The sequence below is a fragment of the Homo sapiens genome, chromosome X (assembly GCF_000001405.40).
Source record: "Homo sapiens chromosome X, GRCh38.p14 Primary Assembly".
NCBI classification, from domain to species: Eukaryota; Metazoa; Chordata; class Mammalia; order Primates; family Hominidae; genus Homo; species Homo sapiens.
In genome coordinates this window covers 44,627,064-44,650,642 of record NC_000023.11, presented here as the reverse complement: position 1 = coordinate 44,650,642, position 23,579 = coordinate 44,627,064, and the positions used below count along the sequence as shown (strand labels likewise).

At 43.7% G+C, this 23,579-nt stretch overlaps 2 pseudogenes; both read right to left on the bottom strand.

Moving 5' to 3' along the window:
* RPL19P20 (ribosomal protein L19 pseudogene 20) lies at positions 843-1,550 on the bottom strand (annotated as a pseudogene).
* Positions 14,578-17,313, bottom strand: CHTF8P1 (chromosome transmission fidelity factor 8 pseudogene 1; annotated as a pseudogene).

The window sequence follows — 23,579 nt, the reverse complement described above, 5'->3', positions numbered from 1 at the left end:
TTTGTCCAATTCTTTGTTCGAGAAGCCAAGAACCTGGACACCTTCTACTGATAACAATACCAGTCCCTTATTGATGGATATTAGGTTACTTAAGCTTTCCTGCTATTACAAACAATTCTGCTGTGAATAATCTTGAATTATACCATATCATGAACTTTAGAAAAAATTCTAGAGTTGGAATTGCTGGGTCAGTGAGTATGTGTGTTTAAAAACCTTTTTTTTTTTTTTTTTTTTTTTTTTTGAGACAGGTTCTCTCTCTGTCACCCAGGCTGGAGTGCAGTGGCATGATCATAACTCACTGCAGTCTCTAACTCCTGGGCTCAAGTGATCTTCCCGCCTCTGCTTCCCAAGTAGCTAGGACTACAGGCATGCACCACCATGCCCAGCAATTTTTTTTTTTTTTTTTTTTGTAGAGATGAGGTTTAGCTATGCTGCCCAGGCTACTCTTGAACTCTTGGGCTCAGGAGATCCTCTTACCCCAGCCTCCCAAAGGGATTACAGACGTGAGCTTCCTCACCTGGCCTTGAAACCTTTTCTTTGGATGCAGGATCTCTTTCTATCACCCAGGTTGGAGTACAGTAGCGTGATCATAACTCACTGCAGCCTCTAACTCCTGGGCTTAAGCTTTCCTCACACCTCAGCCTCCTGAGTAGCTGGGACTACAGGCGAGCACCACCACGCCCAGCTAATTTTTTGTATATTTAGTAGAGAAGGGGTTTCACCAGGTTGCCCAGGCTGGTCTCAAACTCCTGGGCTCAAGTGATCTGCCTGCCTCAGCCTCTCACAGTGCTGGGATTACAGGCATGAGCCACCATGTCCGGCTGAAAGCTTTTTTTTTTTCCAGGCAGATAAAGGCTTGTTTTATTTTAATGGCTGATCTGTGTAATCAAGGAGGCCAGTATGAAAAGACAAAGGAGGAGCTTTTATTTCTTGATCTTTTCCTCCTTGGACAAAGTCTTGATGATCTCCTCCTTCTTGGCCTGGAGGCGCTCTTCATGGTGCTTGTGTTCTTCCTTGGTCTTGGACCTGCGGGCCACAGCCTGGTCAGCCAGAAGCTTCTTGTGGGCCTCGTCTGTCTTCAGCTTGTGGATGTGTTCCGTGAAAATCTGCTTGTTTTTGAACACATTCCCCTTCACCTTCAGGTACAGGCTGGGATACACGTGGCAATCAGTCTTCTTAGATTCAAGGTATCTTCTGAGCAGCCTGCACAGAATCCTCATTCTCCTCATCCACGTGTCCTTCTGTGACATTCAGGCATTGACTGTACCCTTTTGCTTACCCATGCCTATGTGCCTGCCCTTCCGGCAGGCCAAGGTGTTTTTCTGGCATCGTGCCTGGGAATGGACAGTCACAGGCTTGCAAATGATCAGCCCATCTTTGATCAGCTTCCGGATCTGCTGACTGGAGTTGGCATTGGCGATTTCATTGTTCTCATTGGGGTCCAACCAGACTTTCTTCTTGCCACAGTGGAGGACACTAGAGATGAGCCTCTTCTGAAGACTGAGTATACTCACGGCTGTGGCCGCAGCAGCAAAAGGAAAGAGCTCCCTGAAAGCTTTTTAAACATAAAATTTCAAAAATATACTCTTGATAGGCATGGGAGCAAAACTTCAAGGGTTCCAGGGAAACAGTATGTTGGATTTAATCTTTTGATTGTATTTTGCATATGAAAACGTGGTCAAAATCATTTCTCATAAACAACACAATTTTACAGTATTAAATGTGTTTTAAAAAGTAGGTATTTTGAAAGTCTTTCATGTATACAAGCAAGTGAAGACAAAAGGGCAGGCCTCTATAATTACCTTGAAGTTTTCAAAAAGTTCAAGTACTACTAAGTCAGCAGAGTTCGAGAGCTCTGTCGGGTTTTCTTGATTGTGAATTGGCACAGTGATTATCCACTGAGGATGACCAATTTGCCTGCTATTTAAAAAAAATAATCTCTGAGCATTCAAAATCTACTGCAACTCTCTGTTCTGGGAAGAATGTGACGTTGGCATAGAGGGAGTATGCCAGTGAAGGCTTGTAAGTAGGTTCTAAAAGTGCTAAGGGCACAAGTTAATTTGACTTTAAAAGCACCTTAACATTTTATTACTGAAAGCTTTATATTCTCTTGCCTGTTCAAGGAATTGTACGGACCAGCCCAAGAATTGCCTATTACTGCCAGTTAAAATGTGAGCCCTGGGGTCAGTGTAATTTCTGGAAATAAAGTAAGTTTGAGAAAGAGTACAGTTACTGACCATTATTCCTGGTGCCATGCTTGGTAAACTTCTTCTGTAGAGGGGCAGACAGCACATATTTTAGGTGTTATGGACCGTGCAGTCTCTGTCGTTACTACTCAACTCTGCTGTTTAAATGTTAAAGCAGTCATAGACAATAGTTGAATGAATGAGCATGGCTGTGCTCCAATAAAACTGTCTACAGAAAGGGCGAGTGGCAAGATTTTGCCACAGAATCCCAGTATACCCACTCATTTCCTGGAGGAAAATTAGAGTCCTTGCAGTGTACCATCACCTCAAGCCATGGAGTACTTGGTGACCTTTGGTGCTCTGGTTCTTTTTGACCTGAGTGGAGTTTTTTCCCACGGGAGCCCTGCGATGTCTAAAATGACTTTCCCTGATGACACCCTGGACATACAATTTCCTTAGCTTACATGTCATTTGGATGAGAGTAAGTGCATAGGGAATGTTGCTATGATGTCCTGGGGATCTGTGGAGAGAATGTCATTTATGACAGAGCATTAGAGGGGGAACAAGAACAACAAAACCAGAGATCTCTGGTGTCATCGTGGTGGATTGTTTGTAAAGATGGCTGCTAACAATCCCGCCCATCCTGCTATGTGCCTCCGGCACTTCCCATCAAGTACTGAGGTCTATTTACCTCCCCTTAAAAATGGGCTGACCTTAGGACTTGTTTTGGCCACGAGAATATGGCAGAAGTGATGAAACCGCCTTTGCAAAATTGACTGAGACAGTGAAATAGATCTGACTTAACCGACTCCATCTTGCTTCTAAGCTCCAAGCAGTCCTCGTTCATTCCTGGGCATAGGCTGAACTAACTTTGGGAGAAGGCTTAGTTATAGTTTATAGTTTAAAACAAAGATGATAGGCTGGGCATGGTGGCTCATGCCTGTAATCCCAGCACTTTGGGAGGCCAAGGCGGGTGAATCACAAGGTCAGGAGTTCAAGACCAGCCTGGCCAAGATGATGAAACCCTGTCTCTACCAAAAAAAAAAAAAAAAAATACAAAAAAGCCAGGTGTGATCGTGGGCACCTGTAATCCCAGCTACTCAGGAGGCTGAGGCAGAAAATTGCTTGAACCCGGGAAGTGGAAATTGCGGTGAGCCGAGGTAGCGCCATTGCACTCCAGCCTGGGCAACAGAGCAAGAGTCTGTCTCAAAAATAAACAAATAAATAAATAAAAAGAAAACAAAGACAATAACAGCCCTTTCCCAAAGCAGACCTCCTTCTTGCCTGGGGACTAGATTGCCTTTGTAGGACTAACATTAGCCATAAGATTGGAAATTATGGTTTAGGAGTCATGCAGCTGGGGGCTACAAGATTCTTACCCTCCCTAAACTGCTCCTAAGATAAGTGCTTGAGATATTTTGCAGACCCTGAACTGGATGGATCAGCTGGCACCACCCAGACTGATAAAGTGGCTCATCTGATCTTGCGGCCCCCACCAAGGAACTGACTCAGCACAAGAAGACAGCTTTGACTTCCTGTGATTTCATCCCTGACCAATCAGCACTCCTAGCTCACTGGCTTCCTTCCACTCACCAAGTTGTCCTTAAAAACTCTGCTCCCGGAATGCTTGGGGAGACTGATTTGAGTAATAATAAAACTCCAGTCTCAGCCGGGTGCAGTGGCTCATGCCTGTAATCCCAGCACTTTGGGAGGCTGAGGTGGGTGGATCATGAGGTGAGGAGTTCGAGACCAGCCTGGCCAACATGGTGAAACCCTGTCTCTACTAAAAATACAAAAATTAGCTGAGCGTGGTGGTGTGCACCTGTAATCCCAGCTACTCAGGAGGCTAAGGCAGGAGAATCACTGGAACCTGGGAGGCGGAGGTTACAGTGAGCCAAGATCATGCCATTGCACTCCAGCCTGGACAACAGATCGAGACTCCCTCTCAAAAAAAAAAAAAAAAAAGAAAAAAAAAAGAAACAACTCCAGTCTCCCGCACAGCCAGCTGGGGGTGAATTACTCTTTTCTGTATTGCAATCCCCCTGTCTTGATAAATCAGCTCTGTCTAGGCAGCGAGCAAGGTGAACCCCTTGGGCGGTTACAGTGATGCTGTACCAATTCCAAGCCTAGACCTGAAGAAACTTGGCACCTTCAGCTGTCACCCTCTTAGAAGCCAGCTGTTACATAAAGACGCTTGGGCTAGACATCTGAATGATGCACAACCACGTGGAAGAAGAGAGAGAGGTCAGATAGAGAAGAGCTCAGGTGTCCAGTCACTACTGCCACCCAGGCTGAGGCGCCAGACATGACTTGGGGCCATTTTGGATGTTCCAGCTTTAGTCAAGCTCCCAACTTAGTGTAGCCATATGACTGACCCCAGATAACATCACATGGAGCAGAGACATGTCATCCTTGCCAATCTCTAGCCAAACTGCAGAATTGTGAACAAATAAATGGTTGTTTTAAGCCACTAATTTGGGAGATGGTTTGTTATGCAACAATAGTTCCCATGACCCAATAGCAGGGTACCCATATTGGGGATCTTCTGGCTTGAAGGTCTCCTGACACTTGACTTTCTGCCCTTTACAGCATCCATAATTAGCAACTCCTTAATCTGGCCTCCAAGGCTCTCCATTGCCTTGGCTTTTACTTACCTTGCCATCACCATTTCTGCATGCTCCACTACAGGAAGCTTTCCTTCTAGAGAAGCAGTACAGCACAGATATTAGGAGCAATGACTCTGGAGACAGACTGCCTATCATTAGCTGTGTGACCTTGGTCAAGTTGCTTAACCCATCTGTGCTTACTCTCTTCATATGAAAGGTGAATGATAATAATCCCTATCTCATGCATGGTGGTGGTGAACATTAATATGTTAATATGTGTAAAGCACTTCGAATAGTTCCTGGCACTGTGCCATACATGGTTTTGGAAGCCTTCAGTCAGTATATTGCCTCCTGCCAAGTTGGCTTTCTCTGCTCCCCTTTCTTTCTCTCCTTCTTTCCTTCTTTCTCAGCCCACCTGGAGACCCCTCCTGTATGTGGAGGCCCCGATGCAATAGCTTTCATTCGTCTAGGTCTTCCTTCTCTCGTCTCCTGTTTGGGACACTAATCTGACAGTTAGGCTTTGAGATTCTGGAGTCTCCGGATTGTCTGGGGATCCCATTTTGCCTCTTGAAAGCAGAGACTGTTGTCTGAGAGCCGCAACAATTGCCTTCCTGCCCCTGCAGCGCATGCAGATTTTCTTGAAATAAAAAACTGGCCAGGCGTGGTGGCTCACGTCTGTAATCCCAGCACTTTGAGGGGCCGAGGTGGGTGGATCACGAGGTCAGGAGTTCGAGACTAGCCTGGCCAACGTGGTGAAACCCCGTCTCTATTAAAAATACAAAAATTAGCCGGGTGTGGTGGTGGGTGCCTGTAATCCCAGTTACTTGGGAGGCTGGGGCAGGAGAATCGTTTGAATCCAGGAGGCAGAGGTTGCAGTGAGTCACCACACTCCAGCCTGGGTGACAGGGCAAGATTCTGTCTCAAAAAACAAACAAACAAACAAACAAAAACTGAGTAAAAGATTGATGTGGACTCAAGCCAGTGGCAATGCTTTGGGGTAAGTAGGACTTGGGTTGACCTTGGAGGCCTAGACCACTTGGCAAAGTGTGGGGGCAAGGAGGAAGCGTTGTCCCTTCTTAGGCTGCATGTGATATAGACCTCATACATGTAAGCTGCCTGTGCCCAATTCCTCGTACTGTCACTTACTAGCTTGATAACGTTTTGCAAGTATTTACTTTACCTTTTCAGTCTCCTCATCTGCAAAATGAGAGATTTACTAATTGTACTCTCAGCATGAAGTTGTAGGAATACATATACATATATATATATATATTTTTTTTTTTTTAGACGGAGTCTCACTGTCACCCAGCCTGGAGTGCAATGGTGCCATCTCAGCTCACTGCAACCTCCACCTCCTGGGTTCAAGGGATTCTCCCGCCTCAGCCCCCCAAGTAGCTGGGACTACAGGTATACCCCACCACGCCCAGCTAATTTTTGTATTTTTAGTAGAGTCGGGGTTTCACCATGTTGGCCGGGCTGGTCTTGAACTCCTGGCCTCAAGAGATCCACCTGCCTCAGCCTCCTAAAATACTGGGATTACAGCGTGAGCCACTGTACCCGGCCCTAATGGCTTATATTTCTAAGACCCTTGGGACAATGACTGGCACAAGAAAATAGCTCATAAATGTGAAATGTGTTTTGTCATCATTAAGCTCCTCAATTTCCACAAGCTGTGTCAGCTTGATCGCCTGCTCAGCGGACACTAAAGACCATGTGTCTGCACTTGTCTGCCACCCAGATCGTCCTGCTCAGGTACAGCCGTACCTGAGCTTGTGTGTGAGCAGCTCAGCTTGGGGAGGCCATTCTTTACAGTGCTCTTGGCCATTCCTTACAGCGCTCTGTTAGCCCAGGACTAGGGGAGACTACTAGAAAGATTTATACCCAAATTGTGTCGTTTTACCCTTTTGTAGAGTTACTTTTATTGGACTGTGCTTCAGCATCATATCTTTGGTGTACACTGCAGGACACTATAAAGAATAGTCCCATAAACTATTGACTTCCCTATAAAGACGCCACTGAAGAGATTAATATCATTTCAGTAGCCTCTGTGTAGGGAGAACTTTCATGTTTCATTACAAAGAATAATTGTTCTTTTCTTGTAGTTCTTTACTGTATGAATGTGCAAAATACGTGATGGGTCAGGTGTTACTCTCTGCATTTACCTGCCAAATTTTTGACCTTCTAGCAGGGGGCTAGATTCTTACAGGGTATTTTGGGGGGTTCTAACCTAACTCTTTGCTTCATCTATTTTTTTCTACCCTCATTTTCGCTTTTGCCTTATCATCTTGCTTAATTTTTAGACATTGTCATCCAACTCTAATTCTTCCATTGGACTGAAGCAAGGTAAAAATAAAAAAATTTAAAAAGTGCCACTTAAGATAATTCTAAATCAATACCTTTTTAAAATATGTGGAAAATATAAATATGCATTCTGCAATTTTAGAAATCATGTAACTTATCTGTGAATTTCTTCTTGGCCTTGAGTTGTTGAACAGTTGTTGAACAAAATTAAAAAGATTTGAGCAAGAAAGTGAAAGAAGATACCCACTGGTTCTTGTTTTCAAGCTCCAAAGACATACTTTCATGAAATCCATTACAACCACCACAACCACCACTACCATTGAGCACCTACTGTGTGTTTGTAAGGAATTCTAGTCAGTGCAATATATTCAACAAATAAAATAGATGCTAGACACTAAGGTGCAGAGGATACAGTAGAATAAAGCCAGACAAGAGCTCCGCTTTTGCAGTGCTTTAGTGAATTGTCTTTCATAATGAATTTCTAACTGCCCGCCTTTGAGCAAGTCCTCTTTGTACTAGGAGATCTAGAGAGCCTGATAATGATGGTGAAGATGACAATGTCAGCTTACATTTATTGAGTGCATACTATATCCCAGGCATTGTTCTAAGTGCTTTGCATGTATTAGCTTACTGAACCCTCAGACAATCCCATGAGGTATGTGCTAATGTTAACTGCACTTTATAGATTAGGAAATGGAGGCACAGAAGGGTCACATCAGGGTTTCTCAACCTATTGGCACTATTAACATTTCAGACCATGTAATTCTTTGTGGTGGGGGGCTGTCCTGTGCATTTGTATGATGTTTAGCAACATCTCTGTTGTCTATCCATGACTAGGTGCCATAACAACACCTCTCCACCCCAGTTGTGACAATCCAAATGTCTGCAGACATTGCCAAATGTTCCCTGAGGGGCAAAACTACCCCCAGGTTGAGAATCACTGGGTTAGATGATTTGCCCAAATTACAGAACTAGTATGTGTTAGAGCTGAGATTCAACCCAGGCATTCTGGCTCCAGAGTGTGAAATATTAACAACACCAAACTCTAGGTGTAACCGTCTCACTCATAATTAGAATTTTCAGAAATAGAAATGTGAGAATCTTTGTGAAAAAATGTTTAAGAGACATTAAAAAAAGAAATGTGAGAATCTAACTTTCTGAAAATGGTGGACATAGCACTAATGCTGAGATCTGACAATTACTAGTATTTTAATAATTCTGTGTGTATCAGTCAGGGGCCCAGCAAGAAACAGAAGGCATTCTCTAATTAACATAATTTGAGGAGGGTTTAATAACCGACTGCTTACAAAGGTGTGGGGCAGGGAGTAGGGAGGCCACAGAGGAGAGTGTAGTCCCCTGAGTCTCTTAACAGTGGAGGGCCTTTACCGTTTATACTAACAATGGGATGAGAAAGAGAGAGAGGTGGAGAGAGAGAGAGATGCCTTAAGGACAACACTATCTGGCCAGGTGTGGTGGCTCACGCCTGTAATCCCAGCACTTTGGGAGGCCAAGGGGGGCGGATCACCTGAGGTCAGGAGTTCGAGACCAGCCTGACCAACATGGTGAAACCCCATCTCTACTAAAAATACAAAAATTAGCTGGGCGTGGTGGCTCATGCCTGTAATCCCAGTTACTTGGGAGGCTGAGGCAGGAGAATCACTTGAACCCAGGAGGTGGAGGTTGCAGTGAGCCAAGATCGCCACTACAATCCAACCTGGGCAACAGAGTAAGACTCTGTCTCGAAAATAAATAAATAAATAAATAAATAAATAACACTATCTTCTGTTGCCTAAGGTGACCTTGAACGGAGAATGCTAGGAGAATAAATACCATAACTTGACTCTCTTTCCTCCCTCTGATCTTCTGGGACTGCGCATTGGCTAAACCCCACTGGAAACCAGAGAACAATGATGCCCACTAATTGTGCTCCATTCAAGTCAGCCACCTGGGTAGAGAGCAGGCAGAGAAGGGTGGAGAGAGACATCTGCTACACTGCAATAATCTTTCTTTTTTTCTTTTTTGAGGTGGAGTCTTGCTCTGTCGCCAGGCTGTAGTGCAGTGGCTCTATCTTGGCTCACTGCAACCTTTGCCTCCCGGGTTCAAGCGATTCTCCTGCCTCAGCCTCCTGAGTAGCTGGGATTACAGGCACGTGCTGCCACGCCTGGCTAATTTTTGTATTTTTGGTAGAGACAGAGTTTCACCATGTTGGCCAGGATGGTCTCAATCTCTTGACCTCGTGATCCACCCACCTCAGCCTCCCAAAGTGCTGGGATTACAGGTGTGAACCACCACGCCCGGCTTGCAATAACCTTTCTCATGGGATTTCATTTATATCTATTGGCTTTAAGATTTTATTATTCCATAAACTTTACAGATTTGCAATTTTTTTGGTGAGAAGTCAATTTCATCTAACAACTTTACCTTGATTTTTCATGACCTCCAATGTGTATAGCTGGTGAACCAGCTTGTGTAGAATTTGAGGGGAGAAAAGAAAATTATTGTAATATCTGCTTTGGAAAGATGCTATTAGGATGCATCAGCTACAGAAACATTGGAGTAGTCACTGCCTTTTTCTTTTAATTTTTTAAACTGTAACCGAGACATAAGGTTCACTATTATGTGTTTATGTTGGCAGAGATTCAAATGTGAAAATTCTTTTCTAAGCCATTCTCTGAAGTATCTGGATATTTGCTTCAAACTTTTTGTCATGCCCTCAATTGATTAAACTTTCATTTTAAAGAGTCAATGGATAGCATGTCTTAATTTGCAGTCTTTCCACAGGTCTTTTAAAGATCACACCTACACAACAACAAAAATGGCCTGTCAATTCAGTGAGATCAAGTCAATTAATGGAATTAAAAAAAAAACACCACTAAAGAGTTTTTTTTTCTTTTTTTAATGTGGTACCATGTGTGTGAAAAACAATTCTTGGGTTGACTATAATTTTTATTTTTCTCACAGTGAATTTTGGCACCGTTTGGCACAGCTTGGCTAAGTCTCTTTCCAGCCCACCCTTGAGCATTTCTGTCTTCTCCGTCCCTTCTGTTATGTTCCTTGTACGCTGTGAGTTCCAGCCCTTTCCCTGAACTATATGTTCTAGAAACGTAGAATCTTGGAGTTGAAAGTGCTGTGAGTAGCCACATAGTTCATTCTCCCTCCCAGTGGGTACCCTCTTGTGTAATATCTCTGACAGATGGCCACCCAGCCTGTGTTTGAGCATCATCTAGGACAGGGAACCCTCTGCTTTGCAAAGCAGCTTGTTCCACCGTGGGCTAGCTCATACTGCTAAACTGATCATTTTGCCATTGAGCTGAAACTTGCTTTCTTCTAAATTTCGTTTTCTTTCTTTCCTTCTTCCTTTCTGTTTCTTTCCTTCTTTCCTTCTTTTTTCTTTCTTTCTTTCCTTCTTTCTTTCTTTCTTTCTTTCTTTCTTTCTTTCTTTCTTTCTTTTTCTTTCTTTTTCTTTCCTTCTTTCTTTCTTTCCTTCTTTCTTTCTTTCTTCTTTCTTTCTTTCTCTTTCTTTCTTTTTTTTTTTTGACAGAGTCTTGCTCTGTTGCCCAGGCTGGAGTGCAGTGACATAATCTTGGTTCAGTGCAACCTTCGCCTCCTGGGTTCAAGTGATTCTTCTGCCTCAGCCTCCCGAGTAGCTGGTATTACAGGTGCATGCCACTATGCCCAGCTAAGTTTTTGTATTTTTAGTAGAGATGGGGCTTTGCCATGTTGGCCAGGCTGGTCTCGAACACCTGACCTCAGGTGATCCACCTGCCTTGGCCTCCCAAAGTGCTGGGATTACAGGCCTGAGTCACCGAGTCTGGCTGCTTTCTTCTAATTTTCACGCATTAGGGAAAGGCAGTAGAGGGCAGTGGTCAAGATTCCGGTTCTGAGCCAGACTGTCTTTGTTCATGTTCCTGCTCTCCCACTTACCATCTGTGTGCTCTTGTGCAAGTTATTTAACCTTCTAAGCCAGTTTGTTTCTCTGTAAAATGGGGATAACCGTAGCTTTGCATTGTATCAATTTAGCTAAGTTGGAACTAAGATTCCCAGAATTCCCTTCCTTGTTTGGTGCTGGGTTAGAGTTGACCACAGGGGAAACTGGAGGGCAGAAGTAAGGCAGGAAGTAGGGTATAGGGCCACTGCTGTTGTAGTTTCCCTACATCAGCACAGATCTGGTTTGCATTATTCATGTAGGGCACCAACTGGGCCTGCAGCTCTTCCAGCCCTGGCCAGCTCTTCTTCAGTATCTCTGGATCCTGGGCCAACTCTGTGTGAAGTTCTGTGGTGAAGTGTGCCAGCTCCTCTACAGGTCACTGGCATCTTTAAAGTCGGAGGCTTAGAGACAGTGAGAGACCGACGAAGATTCCAATGTGATACCAATGTGACCAATGTAAGTTCTGATGAGAGACAGATGTGAGTTTCAGCTCTTTCTTGCTATCTTCCACTTTACACCCATTTTCCCTTCCCAACTCCTGCAGATGCTGACTTCAGGCCGAAAATCCGATGCAGAAGCAAGAGCTATACACAAACTACACAGCTCTCAATATTCGTAAGGTCTGATCTGTAAGCTAAATTTCTTATTTAACTCACAGTGGTTCTGCTTCTCTGATCAAACCCCAATGATACCAGTACATTGCGACAAATAAATGAAATAATCTATGTAAAGCACTAATTACAGTGCCTGGAACGTAGTTAAGTACCCAGCATCTGTGGACCTGTATTGTTGTAGTCTCCATCTTCATGGTATTACCAGCTCCATTCTCCAGGTCATTACAGAATGCATTTGGCTCCTCTTCTACCTGATGGTGAATCCACATATTTAAATCCTTTCTTTCTTTCTTTCTCTTTTTTTTTTTTTTTTTTTTGAGATGGAGTCTCCCTCTGTTGCCCAGGCTGGAGTGCAGTGGTGTGATCTCTGTTCACTGCAACCTCTGCCTCCCGGGTTCAAGCAATTCTCCTGCCTCAGCCTCCTGAGTAGCTGGGATCATAGGCCCTCGCCACCATGCTCAGCTAATTTTTTTTGTAATTTTAGTAGAGATGGGGTTCCACCATGTTGGCCAGGCTGGTCTCGAACTCCTGACCTCAAGTCATCCGCCCACCTCGGCATCCCAAAGTGCTGGAATTACAGGCATGAGCTACCGCATCCAGCCTACATTCATATTTTTGAAGGCTTTTAAATGTAGAATGATCTGTCAAGTGAAACCTTATGAGAGATACTGGACTAAGTGATTTGGACATATTATCTTATTTAATTGTCTCCACAAACACTCTAGAAATTTTCCAGATGAGGCTACTGAAGCTCATCCAAAGGTGACATAACTAGGGGTTTCTTGGACTACCTATAGTTACTTGGGTTTTATAATAATATGCAATTTCTAACTTGCACATTTAGTTTTTTTAAAGTGTTAAACACAATTTATGAATATTATTAGTTATGCTATTTATAAATCTTGTAATTGTATAAAATAAGAGCAATTACTTTCATTTATTCTTTGATTAATAGTCAACACAGTTCAAGCAGATTAAAATCACTTTAAACAATCCAATTTATAAACTTATTTATTTCCCCTTTTTAAACTACACTCATAAATTTAATATATTTGAACTTTTCGAGCCCTTCAATTGCCTGACAAGGCGTAAGTATAATCCTAACAAACAAAATTCTACCAGTTGGTTAAATGACTCTGGTGAAGATAATAAATTAAGCCTATAAATTTGTTGAATCTTGAGCTTTCATAAACATTTCAATACTGTTAATATGCTTGTGAAAATCTCTTATACTTATCTATGTGAAATTACAAGTCAAAATCAATTGCTGAAGGCTAATCTAACAGATTTCCTAAAATGCTAGATTCTCTTAAACATTACAAAGAAATTGTTTTTAATTTATAAAAAGTGTTTCTACTATGGCTATTTACTTCATCATATCATTCTAAATTCTCCCCAGGGTTGAAAAGTCACTTACCCAAATAAGGGTAGTAGATTTACTATATCAGGTAAATTGAGCTGAAGTCAGAAGGTGGCTTTTCCCCTCAGGATGTGTTTGTATAGTTAGAAATTCAAGACCCAGACATAGGATTTAAGAGACTCATGCTTCCTGAATTATTCTATCTTAGTCACAGGGTACACAGGAAACCCCTGCTTTTTTTTTTACATGAATGTTCATAGCAGCTTTCTTTGTAATAGCCCAAAACTGCATACAAACCGAATGTCCATCAACAGATCAACAGACAAATTGTGATGTACTGATACAATGGAATATTACTCAGCAATAAAAAAGAAAGAACTACTGATACACACTGCAACAGGGATGAATCTCAAAATCATTATGCTACATGGAAGAGACCAATCAAAAAGGAATCCACACCACTTAATTCCTTTTATATTAAATTCTAGAAAATGCAAACTAATCTGTAGTGACAGAAAGCAGATGGGGGTTCAAGGAGAAGAGAGAGACCACCATAGGGGGATAGACATGTTCATTACCTTGAGGGCAGACATGAATTTAAGAGTATATACATATATCAAAACTTACACTTTCTTTTTTCTTGAGTTGGAGTCTCGCTCTGTTGCCCAGGTTGGAGTGAAGTGGCACGATCTTGGCTCACTGAAACCTCCACCCCCCAGGTTCAAGCAATTCTCCTGCCTCAGCCTCCCAAGTAGCTGGGACTACAGGCACGTGCCACCACACCAGGCTAAGTTTTGTATTTTTAGTAGAGATGGTTTTTAGCCATGTTGACCAGGCTGGTCTCAAACTCCATATCTCAGGAGATCCACCTGCCTCAGCTTCCCAAAGTGCTAGGATTACAGGCTTGAGCCACCGCTCCTGGACCTAAAATTTATGCTTTAAATAGAGGCAGTTTATTGTTATGTCAATAAACTTGGTTTTAAAAAACTAATGAACCATATCATATTTTTCTTACAAAATTAGTCACAATAATTTTATTCATAGCAAAAGTGAGGAACCCCCTTTTTTAAAAAATAGCCACTTTGCTCATGGGAGGGCATAAGGCCATACCTTTTAGCTATAAAGTTTTAGTTACCTGATTGGGTTAACTAGAAATCTGCAACCCTACTCAAGTGGCAGACTAAACTCTCTTTACCTCTAATTGGGCTCTGAATTCCTTAAATATTCTATTTTATCCTGTATCTTCTATTTTTATCTGGCTATAACTCATAGTCATGAGCTGGTAGAGCTGGATTTGAACCCAGATCTCCCTGAGACCAGAATGTGGTCTGTGATCCACCATGATATGCTGATTTATTTATTTTTATTTTTATTTATTTATTTTTATTTTTATTTTTTATTTTTTATTTTTTTTGTGACAGAGTCTTATTGTATCACCCAGGCTGGAGTGCAGTGGCACAATCTTGGCTCACTGAAACCTTTGCCTCCTGGGTTCAAGCAATTCTCTTGCCTCAGCCTCCCGAGTAGCTGAGATTACAGGCGTGCACCACTATGCCTGGCTAAGTGTTTTTTTTTTTCTTTTGCCCTCTCATCCCATTTATTAAAGAAACAGTAAGAAAAGATACAACGCAGGAAAACCACCAACCATCCTTTCACACCAGGCTGAACGAAGCACAGTGATTTCTTCCCTTCCTTCCCCCACCCTCACCCCAATTCCCATATACCCATCCACATCAGTTTAAATTTTGAGGTTCTTTGATTGGGAGTACCAGTGAAGAGGGAGCTGGATGGGTAGAGGAGCCTTAAATCCGGCTACTCCTAAGTCCCAGGAGAAGGGAGCTACAGGCCCAGTCAGTCAAGCAGAAACTGCATTTGGTGGGTCTTTGAAGTGGTTGTCCATCTCCCTGTTCTGTGTTCAAGCCCCCAGGGAAAGGTATGGCAGTTGAGGATGACCAGTTCCAAGCTGCCCAGGTCAGAGCTATGGAAGAATGGTCAGTTCACCAATGCCACGTTTCTAGAGAGCAGTGAGCTGATTCTCCAACGGTGAGCAGGGGACTACATGTGAACTGGGACCCGTAGGCCAATGTATCCCTGGGGAAAAGTTCACAAGAACAATTCAAGAAACTAGTAAGAAACAATGGGCAGAAAGCTGTGGGATGAAAGCACAGCAGGCTTCTGGGAGGCTGGAGATCCTTTCTCTCAAGGCCAGGATTATTCTCACCTGCCACAGTTCATGTGCCACAAATAACAGCTCACCTTCAGTCAAGAAAAACGCAGAGGAAAAAGATGGCTCATTTGAACTTGAGCCCCAGCTATGTTCTTCAGACTGTAGCTCCACCCTTTTACCTAAGAGACAGCCACTGCTGAGAACCACAGTGCCTAGAAACTAAGGTGGTCCTGGAGGGAAAAAGGTGTTTAAGGGGGTAACATTCCATTTGGGTACACTGCAGCCATTGGACCCCCTGGTCTGGGGAAAGCAGCTGGGTTTGTGCCAGGGAGGCTCCCCACTCTAGGAAATGGGACCAAACTCTTGCCTGCAGGGCCATTCATCCTTGGAAAGGAAGCCGGGTTGAGACCCAGGGTCCCAGTTGGCCTTGCGAAAGGAGCTGGGTTGGTACCCACAGGGCCTGCTGGAGAAGAGCCCAGGTGCCCGGCAGCTGACCTGGAGAAAGTAACTTGACCAGAGCCTAATGGGCCAGTAGACCTTGGGAAGGTAGTCAGACTTGGACCCTGCAGGCCAGCGGCCCTTGGGAAGTTAGCTGGGTTGGGGCCAAGTGGCCCAGAGGCTCTTGGGAAAACTGTTGGATTTGAGCCCTGGAGGCCAGCAGACCTTTGGAAGATAGCTGGGTTTGATGCCAATGTGCCAGAAGACTGAGAGAAGGCAGATGAACCCGCTCCCCTGGGAAAGGGATTGGCATTTACCCCCATGGGGCCCCCTGGCCTTGAGAAATGAGCTGAATTAGGGCCTATGGGGCCAGGAGCCCTTGACATGGGAGATGGATTTGGCCCTGGAAGGCCAATTTCCCGAGGGCCAGGACCCAAGTTTGGACCCATGGGGCCAGGTACTCTTGCCATGGAAGACGGGCTTGTGCCCATGTTTCCAGAAGCCTGTGACAAGCTGAATTTGCTCCTAAAAGACCTGCCGCTCTTAGAATGGGGAAAAGATCGAGGCCTTGAGGTCCAGCTATTCTTAAGACCAGGTCCTGTGCCCAAGAGGCCACCTGCTCTGGCATCTAGATTACGGCCCAGGCCCAGGCCACTTGGTCTTGGAAACACACCTAACGTGGGGGCAGGGTTTGTCCCTAAAAAGCCTGATCTCAGATTGGGGTTTGGTCCTGGGCCCAGGCCAACTGGCCAAGGATTGGGAGGACCATTCCCAGAAGTCAACAGAACACCTGCTCTCAGGTTAGGTCCAGATCCAGGGCCCATGGGACCACCACTTCTGGGGTCAGGACCTGCTCCCAGGAGACTACCTGCCCTTAGGTTGGATATAGGACCTGGTCCTGGGAGACCCCCTAACCTGGGATTAGACAGAGGCCCCAGGCCTGGAAGAGCCCCTGTCCTAGGGTTTAGGGTGGGGCCTCGTCCCGGGCCTGGCCCCAAGAAGCCACCAGGCCTTGGGAAAGAAACTGCACCTGTGCCAGTGGGATTCATCCCTCTTGGAAAAGAAGCCATGCTTGGGTCACGAGCACCAGCCGGGAAAGGTGCTGGATTTGAAGCCAATGAGCCTGATGAAGCTGGAAAAGGAGATGAGTTCCTTGGAAATGGGGCCAGATTTCCACCAAGAAAACCAGCCGCCATAAGGAAGGGATCCGAGTTCACACCCAGTGGGTGGCCTGTGTTCAGAACAGGACCCCCCTGTCGTCCCAGGGAACCGTCCAGCCATCCTTGAGGTGGCAGCGGAGCACCAGTCCAAGGAGTTGGCCGCTCTCTAGGGAAAATCCGAGCTCTTTCATACTTTCTTGGGGACGTTGGTGATAATGGGCTTGGGGCAGGTTTTGAAAAGGATCTTGTCTTTGATGAGTGCTCTCACCAGGTACCAAGTGCCAGTCTTGCGGCCAAGCTCATCACAGTCCTGATATCCAGGAGTGTGTTTGACAGGGACTGCAAAAGCTTTCTCCGGGGGGGATGATTTTCCCATTCAGGATATGATGCCACACGATCAGCGCAGGGATTCCCAGGAAATAACAATTTGCACCATGAGCTTTCTGTCTTTAAAAAGCAAGTGAAAACAAATTGCAATGGCGGCCGCCGAGTGTCAACGGGCGACAACCGAACCTCCCACCGCCGCCGCTGCTGCCGCGAGCACTGCCTGCGCCAGTTTTTTGTATTTTTAGTAGGGACGGGGTTTCACCGTGTTGGCCAGGCTGGTCTCGAACTCCTGACCTCAGGTGATTCGCCCGCCTTGGCCTGTAATCTCAAAGTGCTGGGATTACAGGCTTGAGCCACTGCGCCTGGCCAATATTGTGAAACCCAACATGGTGAAACCCCGTCTCTACTAAAAATACAAAAATTAGCCGGGCGTGGTTGCAGGCGCCTGTAATCCCAGCTACTCGGGAGGCTGAGGCTCGAGAATCGCTTGAACCAAGGAGGTGGAGGTTGCAGTGAGCAGAGAACGCGCCATTGCACTCCAGCCTGAGGGACAAGGGCAAAACTCTGTCTCCAAAAAAAAAAAAAGAAAAAAGAAAAGAAAGACACTTTATTTCTAGTACCTACCACAGTGCTGGATAGAATCTGGCACATAGCAGGTACTCAGGCAAGAGTTAAATTAATGGATATCCCACAGCATTTCAGGACCACAAAGTGTATTCTGTAACATTTTATGCATTCTCTGTTTCCATATATTTACCTCTAAAATCAGTTAAAGTATATCTGCTAAACACTGGTTGGCAAGATAAGAGCAAAAGGTGATAGCTATATTACTATTAAGAGTAAAGAAGGCCAGGTGCAGTGGCTCATGCCTGTAATCCCAGAACTTTCGGAGGCTGAGGTGGGAGGATCACTTGAGCCTAGGAGTTTCGAGACCAATCTGGGTAACATAGTGAGACCCTGTCTCCACAAAAAAGTTTAAAAATTAGTCAGGCGTGGTGGCATGCACCTGTAGTCCCAGCTGCTCAGGAGGCTGAGGTGAGAGGATTGTTTAATCCTGGGAGGGTGAGGCTGCAGCCTGGAACCTAGGCAATAGAAAGAGACCTTGTTTAAAAAAAAAAAAAAAAAAAAAAAAAAAGTACTGAGGTCTGCAATATACAGTACAGTCAGGGATTTCAATTAACCACAGCTCTTTGACACATATTGTTCACTGAGATGGTCTTGAAAAGAATTAAATATTGGTTTGCTTTGAGTATATTATGGTTCTTTTTTCCCTTCCAGTTCGCTGAGTTTGGAAAACAAAAGGAGTTTCACTTTCAAGTCAAATGAGCTCACTATATTGGTTTTTAAAATTTTGCTTTTGTTTGTTTTATTGCTTTTGCTCCTTAGTAAATTAGTTCAGTTCATTTTAATTTTGGTTCTCAGCTTATGCCAACATGTAAGTTTCATGTGAATTAGTTTTAATCTCAAGATTTCTTCAGTGTACTTCAGGATGTCATAATTCTTTCATTGATGTTTGACTTAAAAATCCAAGTAAAGTTTAACACAAACAGGAAACAACTATCAGTGGGAATGAAATTTGATTCTTTTTTTTTTTGACATGGAGTCCCACTCTGTTGCCCAGGCTGGAGGTGCAGTGGTACGATCTCGGCTCACTGCAATCTCTGCCTCCCGGGTTCAAGCGATTCTCCTGCCTCAGCTTCCCAAGTAGCTGGGATTACAGGCGCCTGCCACCACGCCCGGCTAATTTTTGTATTTTTAGTAGAGATGGGGTTTCACCATGCTGGCCAGGCTGGTCTCAAACTCCCAAGCTTGGGCGATCCACCTGCCTCGGCCTCCCAAAGTGCTGGCATTACAGGCATGAGCCACTGTGCCTGGTGAAATTTGATTCTTAAAAATATCAATGCCTAAAAAGAAATTGTCTTTTGTCTGTCTGTTTTGAATTTTCTTCATTATTACATTATGCCTTTAATCAGCCAAATTGACATTAAGTTGTATTTGGGTAGCAATTTCTCAGTGTGTGGTGATGTGATGGGGGAAGTTGAGTTAGTGGCATTTGAATTAGGACAGTTTGTTTTGTTTCGTTTTTTATTGTGTGAGACTTTCTCTGAAATTGCCTCACTTTTAGCATCCATAGCCTCTAGGTACTAATTGCCATAAGCAACTCTCAGTCATTATGACAACCCAAAACATTCCCATCTATAACACATGTCCAAGTGTTCCCTAGGTGGGGGCCCACCTGTTGAGGGCCACTGAGTAATAAATATACCTGGTATTCAGAATACCTAAATATTCTGGTTTCAATTCTGCCACTAGCTATAAGATTTGATCTTCCAGTGCCTATATTTCTGTCTATTACAATTATGTGGTTGAAAAATACCCTGGGCCCCAGGGCCATATATGACTTATTTGACTCTGGGGAGCAGTCCACTTGAACTTTTTTACATACATAGGTTTTGTCTAATTTAATAGAATGTTTTTTCAGAGTTGAAAGCTCATGGAAAAGTAAAAAGAAAACAAACAAAAATATTGAATTTTCATTTAATTATTTGATACTCAGGAATTAATAGACCATGGCCACTCCTGTCACTAGGTTGCTGTTAGATGGGCGTATCACTTAAAAGTTATTAATGAAATTGAATACAGATTATTATATCATTATGAGTTGATCACCATTCATTTTCTTTTTTGTTTGTTTTGTTTTGTTTGAGATAGAGTCTGTCTCTGTCACCCAGGCTGAAGCGCAGTGGTGCAACCTTGGCTCACTGCAACCTCCGCCTCCCGGGTTCAAGCGATTCTCCTGCCTCAGCCCCCTCCAGTAGCTGGGATTATAGGCACCTGCCACCACACCTTGCTAATTTTTGTATTTTTAGTAGATATGGGGTTTCACCATGTTGGCCAGGCTGGTCTCAAACTCCTGACCTCAAGTGATCCGCTGCCTCAGCCTCCCAAAGTGCTGGGATTACAGGCGTGAGCCACCCACTGTGCCCGGTCTGATCACCATTAATTTTCATAAAGTTCCATTATGAAATTGGGGTATTATGAAGGGTGAATAAAAAAAAAGGAAACAAATATGAATGAAGCTACCTTTGTAAGTCAATGTTGTTTTCAATGAGATGTCCATGGAGCTTCCATACATAAAGATTCATTTTATTCTCATTATTTATTATGGGTATTTCAAAAATAGAGCAAAGTTAGTCCCAGCTACTCAGGAGGCTGAGGCAGGAGGCCCACTTGAGCCCAGGAATTCAATGCTGCAGTGTGCTATGCAGTCTGCAGTGAGCTAGACTCAGTTGAGTCTTTGAATAGCCACTGTACTCCAGCCTGGGCCACATCGTAAAACCCCATCTCTAAAAAAAAAAAAAAAAACAACAAAAGAGAAAACAAAGCAGAAAGAACAGGAAACTGAACATCCTTGTACTTACCAACTAGTTTGAAAAATCATTAACCTTTTGCCACATTTGCTTCATTTCTGCACTGTGTTAAAGTACAGATATCGTGATACTTCACTTCTGAAAACTTTAGCATTAATCTCTGTCTTAGTTCACCAGGAGTGATGGCGCACGCCTGTGATCCCAGCTACTTGGGAGGCTAAGACAGGAGAATTGCTTGAACCCGGGAGGTGGAGGTTGCAGTGAGTTGAGATCGCACCACTGTACTCCAGCTTGGGTGACAGAGGGAGACTCTGTCTTAAAAAAAAAATTTTTTTTCTTTCTTAGTTCCTTTGCACTGCTCTAGCAGAATACTATAGATTGTATGGCTTATACACAACAGAAATTTATTTCTCACAGTTCTGGTGGCTGGGAAATCCAAGATCAAGAAGATTCGGTGAGTGCCTTCTTCCTGTTTCATAGAGAGCCATCTCTTTGCTGTGTCTTCACATGGTAGAAAGGGAAAGGGAGCTCTCTGGAGTCTCTTATAAAGGTACTAATCCCTTATAGTGTGGAGTATTCATGGCCAAATCACCTCCCAACAACCTCACTTCCTCACACCATCACACTGGGGTTTAGGATTTCAACATATAAATTTTGGGGAGACACAAACATTCAGACCATAGCAATCTCTAAATAAATAACTTTCTCCTATGTATCCACAACAATACTATAAATGTAAGAAAATGAGCAATAATTTCTTACTATTACCTAATACCGATTTCCTTTGCAAATGTCTTCAATTGCTTAAAAATTGCCTTTTGTAAGGCCAGGCATGGTGGCTCATGCCTGTAATCCCAGCACTTTGGGAGGCTGAGGTGGGCGGATCACGAGGTCAGGAGATTGAGACCAACCTGGCTAACATGGTGAAAACCCGTCTCTACTAAAAATACAAAAAAATTAGCCAGGCATGGTGGCGGGTGCCTGTAATCTCAGCTACTCAGGAGTCTAAAGCAGGAGAATGGCATGAACCCAGGAGGTGGAGCTTGCAGTAAACTGAGATAGCCACTACACTCCAGCCTGCGTGACAGATTAAAAAAAAAAATTACCTTTTATCGCTGTTTCTTTCTTTCTTTCTTTTTTAACAGTAAGAATTCAGTCAAGGATCATTGACTGTCTTGAACTTACATCTCTTCAGCCTTTTAAAATTTAGACCTTCATTTTTCTTTTTTTTTTCTGAGGCAGAGTCTTGCTCTTGTAGCCCAGGCTGGAGTGCAGTGGTGCGATCTCAGGTCACTGCAACCTCCACCTCCTGGGTTCAAGCGATTCTCCCGCCTCAGCCTCCTGAGTAGCTGGGATTTTACTTTTAGTAAAGACGGGGTTTCGCCATGTTGGCCAGGCTGGTCTCGAACTCCTGACCTCAGGTGATCTGCCCGCCTCGGCCTCCCAAAGTGCTGGGATTACAGGCGTGAGCCACCGCACCTGACCAGACCTTTTTTCTTATTTGATGACATTGACTTTTGGAAGAGAATGATCAAATATTTTGTAGCATGTCTCACATTCTAACTTTGTATAATTATTTCTGTGTCATAACACTCAGATTGTTTCTCTTCTTGCAGTTAATTTGTAAAGAGGAAGTTAGATCTAAAAGCTTGATTAAGAATACTACACAGGTGATGTATGCTTTATATATATCACATCAGGAGGCACTTTTTTTTTGTTTGTTTTTGAGAAGGAGTTTTGCTCTTGTTGCCCAGCCTGGAGTGCAATGGCACAATCTCGGCTCACTGCAAACTCCGCCTCCCAGGTTCAAGCAATTCTCCTGCCTCAGCCTCCCAAGTAGCTGGGATTACAGGCGGGTGCCACCACTCCCAGTTAATTTTTTAATTTAGTACATACGGGGTTTCATCAGGTTGGTCAGGCTGGTCTCGAACTCCCGACCTCAGGTGATCCACCAACCTCCGCCTCCCAAAGTGCTGGGATTACAGGCGTGAGCCACTGTGCCCAGCCAGGAGGCACATTTTAAAAATGTGTCTATTATTAATGATGCTAACTTTGTTCACTGAATTAAGGTGTTTTTTGCTTGTTAAAGGACAATTTTTGTTAAGGGTAATCCTTAGCAAACTTAGCTGGGAAAAAAAAGGGTAAGCTCAGGACTCTCAAACAAATACAAAATGAACATGTACCAAAGATGTTATTTAGCTCATTAATTACTGAGGAAACCAGTAAGATATTACAACTGGTCTAGAGGAAAATCCAAAGAGCAGACACATATACAGGCTGAATAAAAGTTAAAATGAATTTGCTCAAATTGGTCAATGTCCATAGGGCAACAATCAACTGCACCTCTACTAGACAATTTCCATTTTTCTAAGGACATGAATCATTTGCAGTGTTCTCAATATTCTAGAACTTACAGGCTTGAAAAATAGCTCAAAAATAATAAAAGGCCCAGAGTCCCAATGGAATCAGATAACCTGGACAACACCTATCTTCCATTGAAGAATAGAATCTTTGATCCATTTCAAAGTCTTTCACAATTTTTCCCTACACCCTAAATCTTTTTTATCACAACGTTAACAGTTTTTACTTTTCAATCAGGGAGTTATCTGTGGAGTCATACTTAGTGCCATGGGAACATCCAGTTTCCATGATGTAGGGGAGATGTCATGGTTTTGTGTAGTGGTTTTAACACTCATTGATAATTTTCGTCTGAATCAATTATTTCACTGAAGGTAGCAAAATGGGGATTGTTACAAATTTTTTTTTTTTTTTTTTGAGACCAAGTTTCACTCTGTTTGCCAGGCTGGAGTTCAGTGGCGTGATCTCAGCTCACTACAACCTCCCCCTCCCGAGTTCAAGCGATTCTCCTGCCTCAGCCTCCCGAGTAGCCGGGATTAATTCTTGCATTTTTAGTAGAGACGAGGTTTCACCATGTTGACCAGGCTGATCTCGAACTCCTGACCTCAAGTGATCCGCCCATCTCGGCCTCCCAAAGTGCTGGGATTACAGGCGTGAACCACCACGCCTGGCCTGGGGATTGTTCCAATTTTATTATTTCTTCTCCATTTATTAGCAGGCAGTCTTCAGAAAAGAAGAGTTTCCTTTTCAGCTAAGACCATTT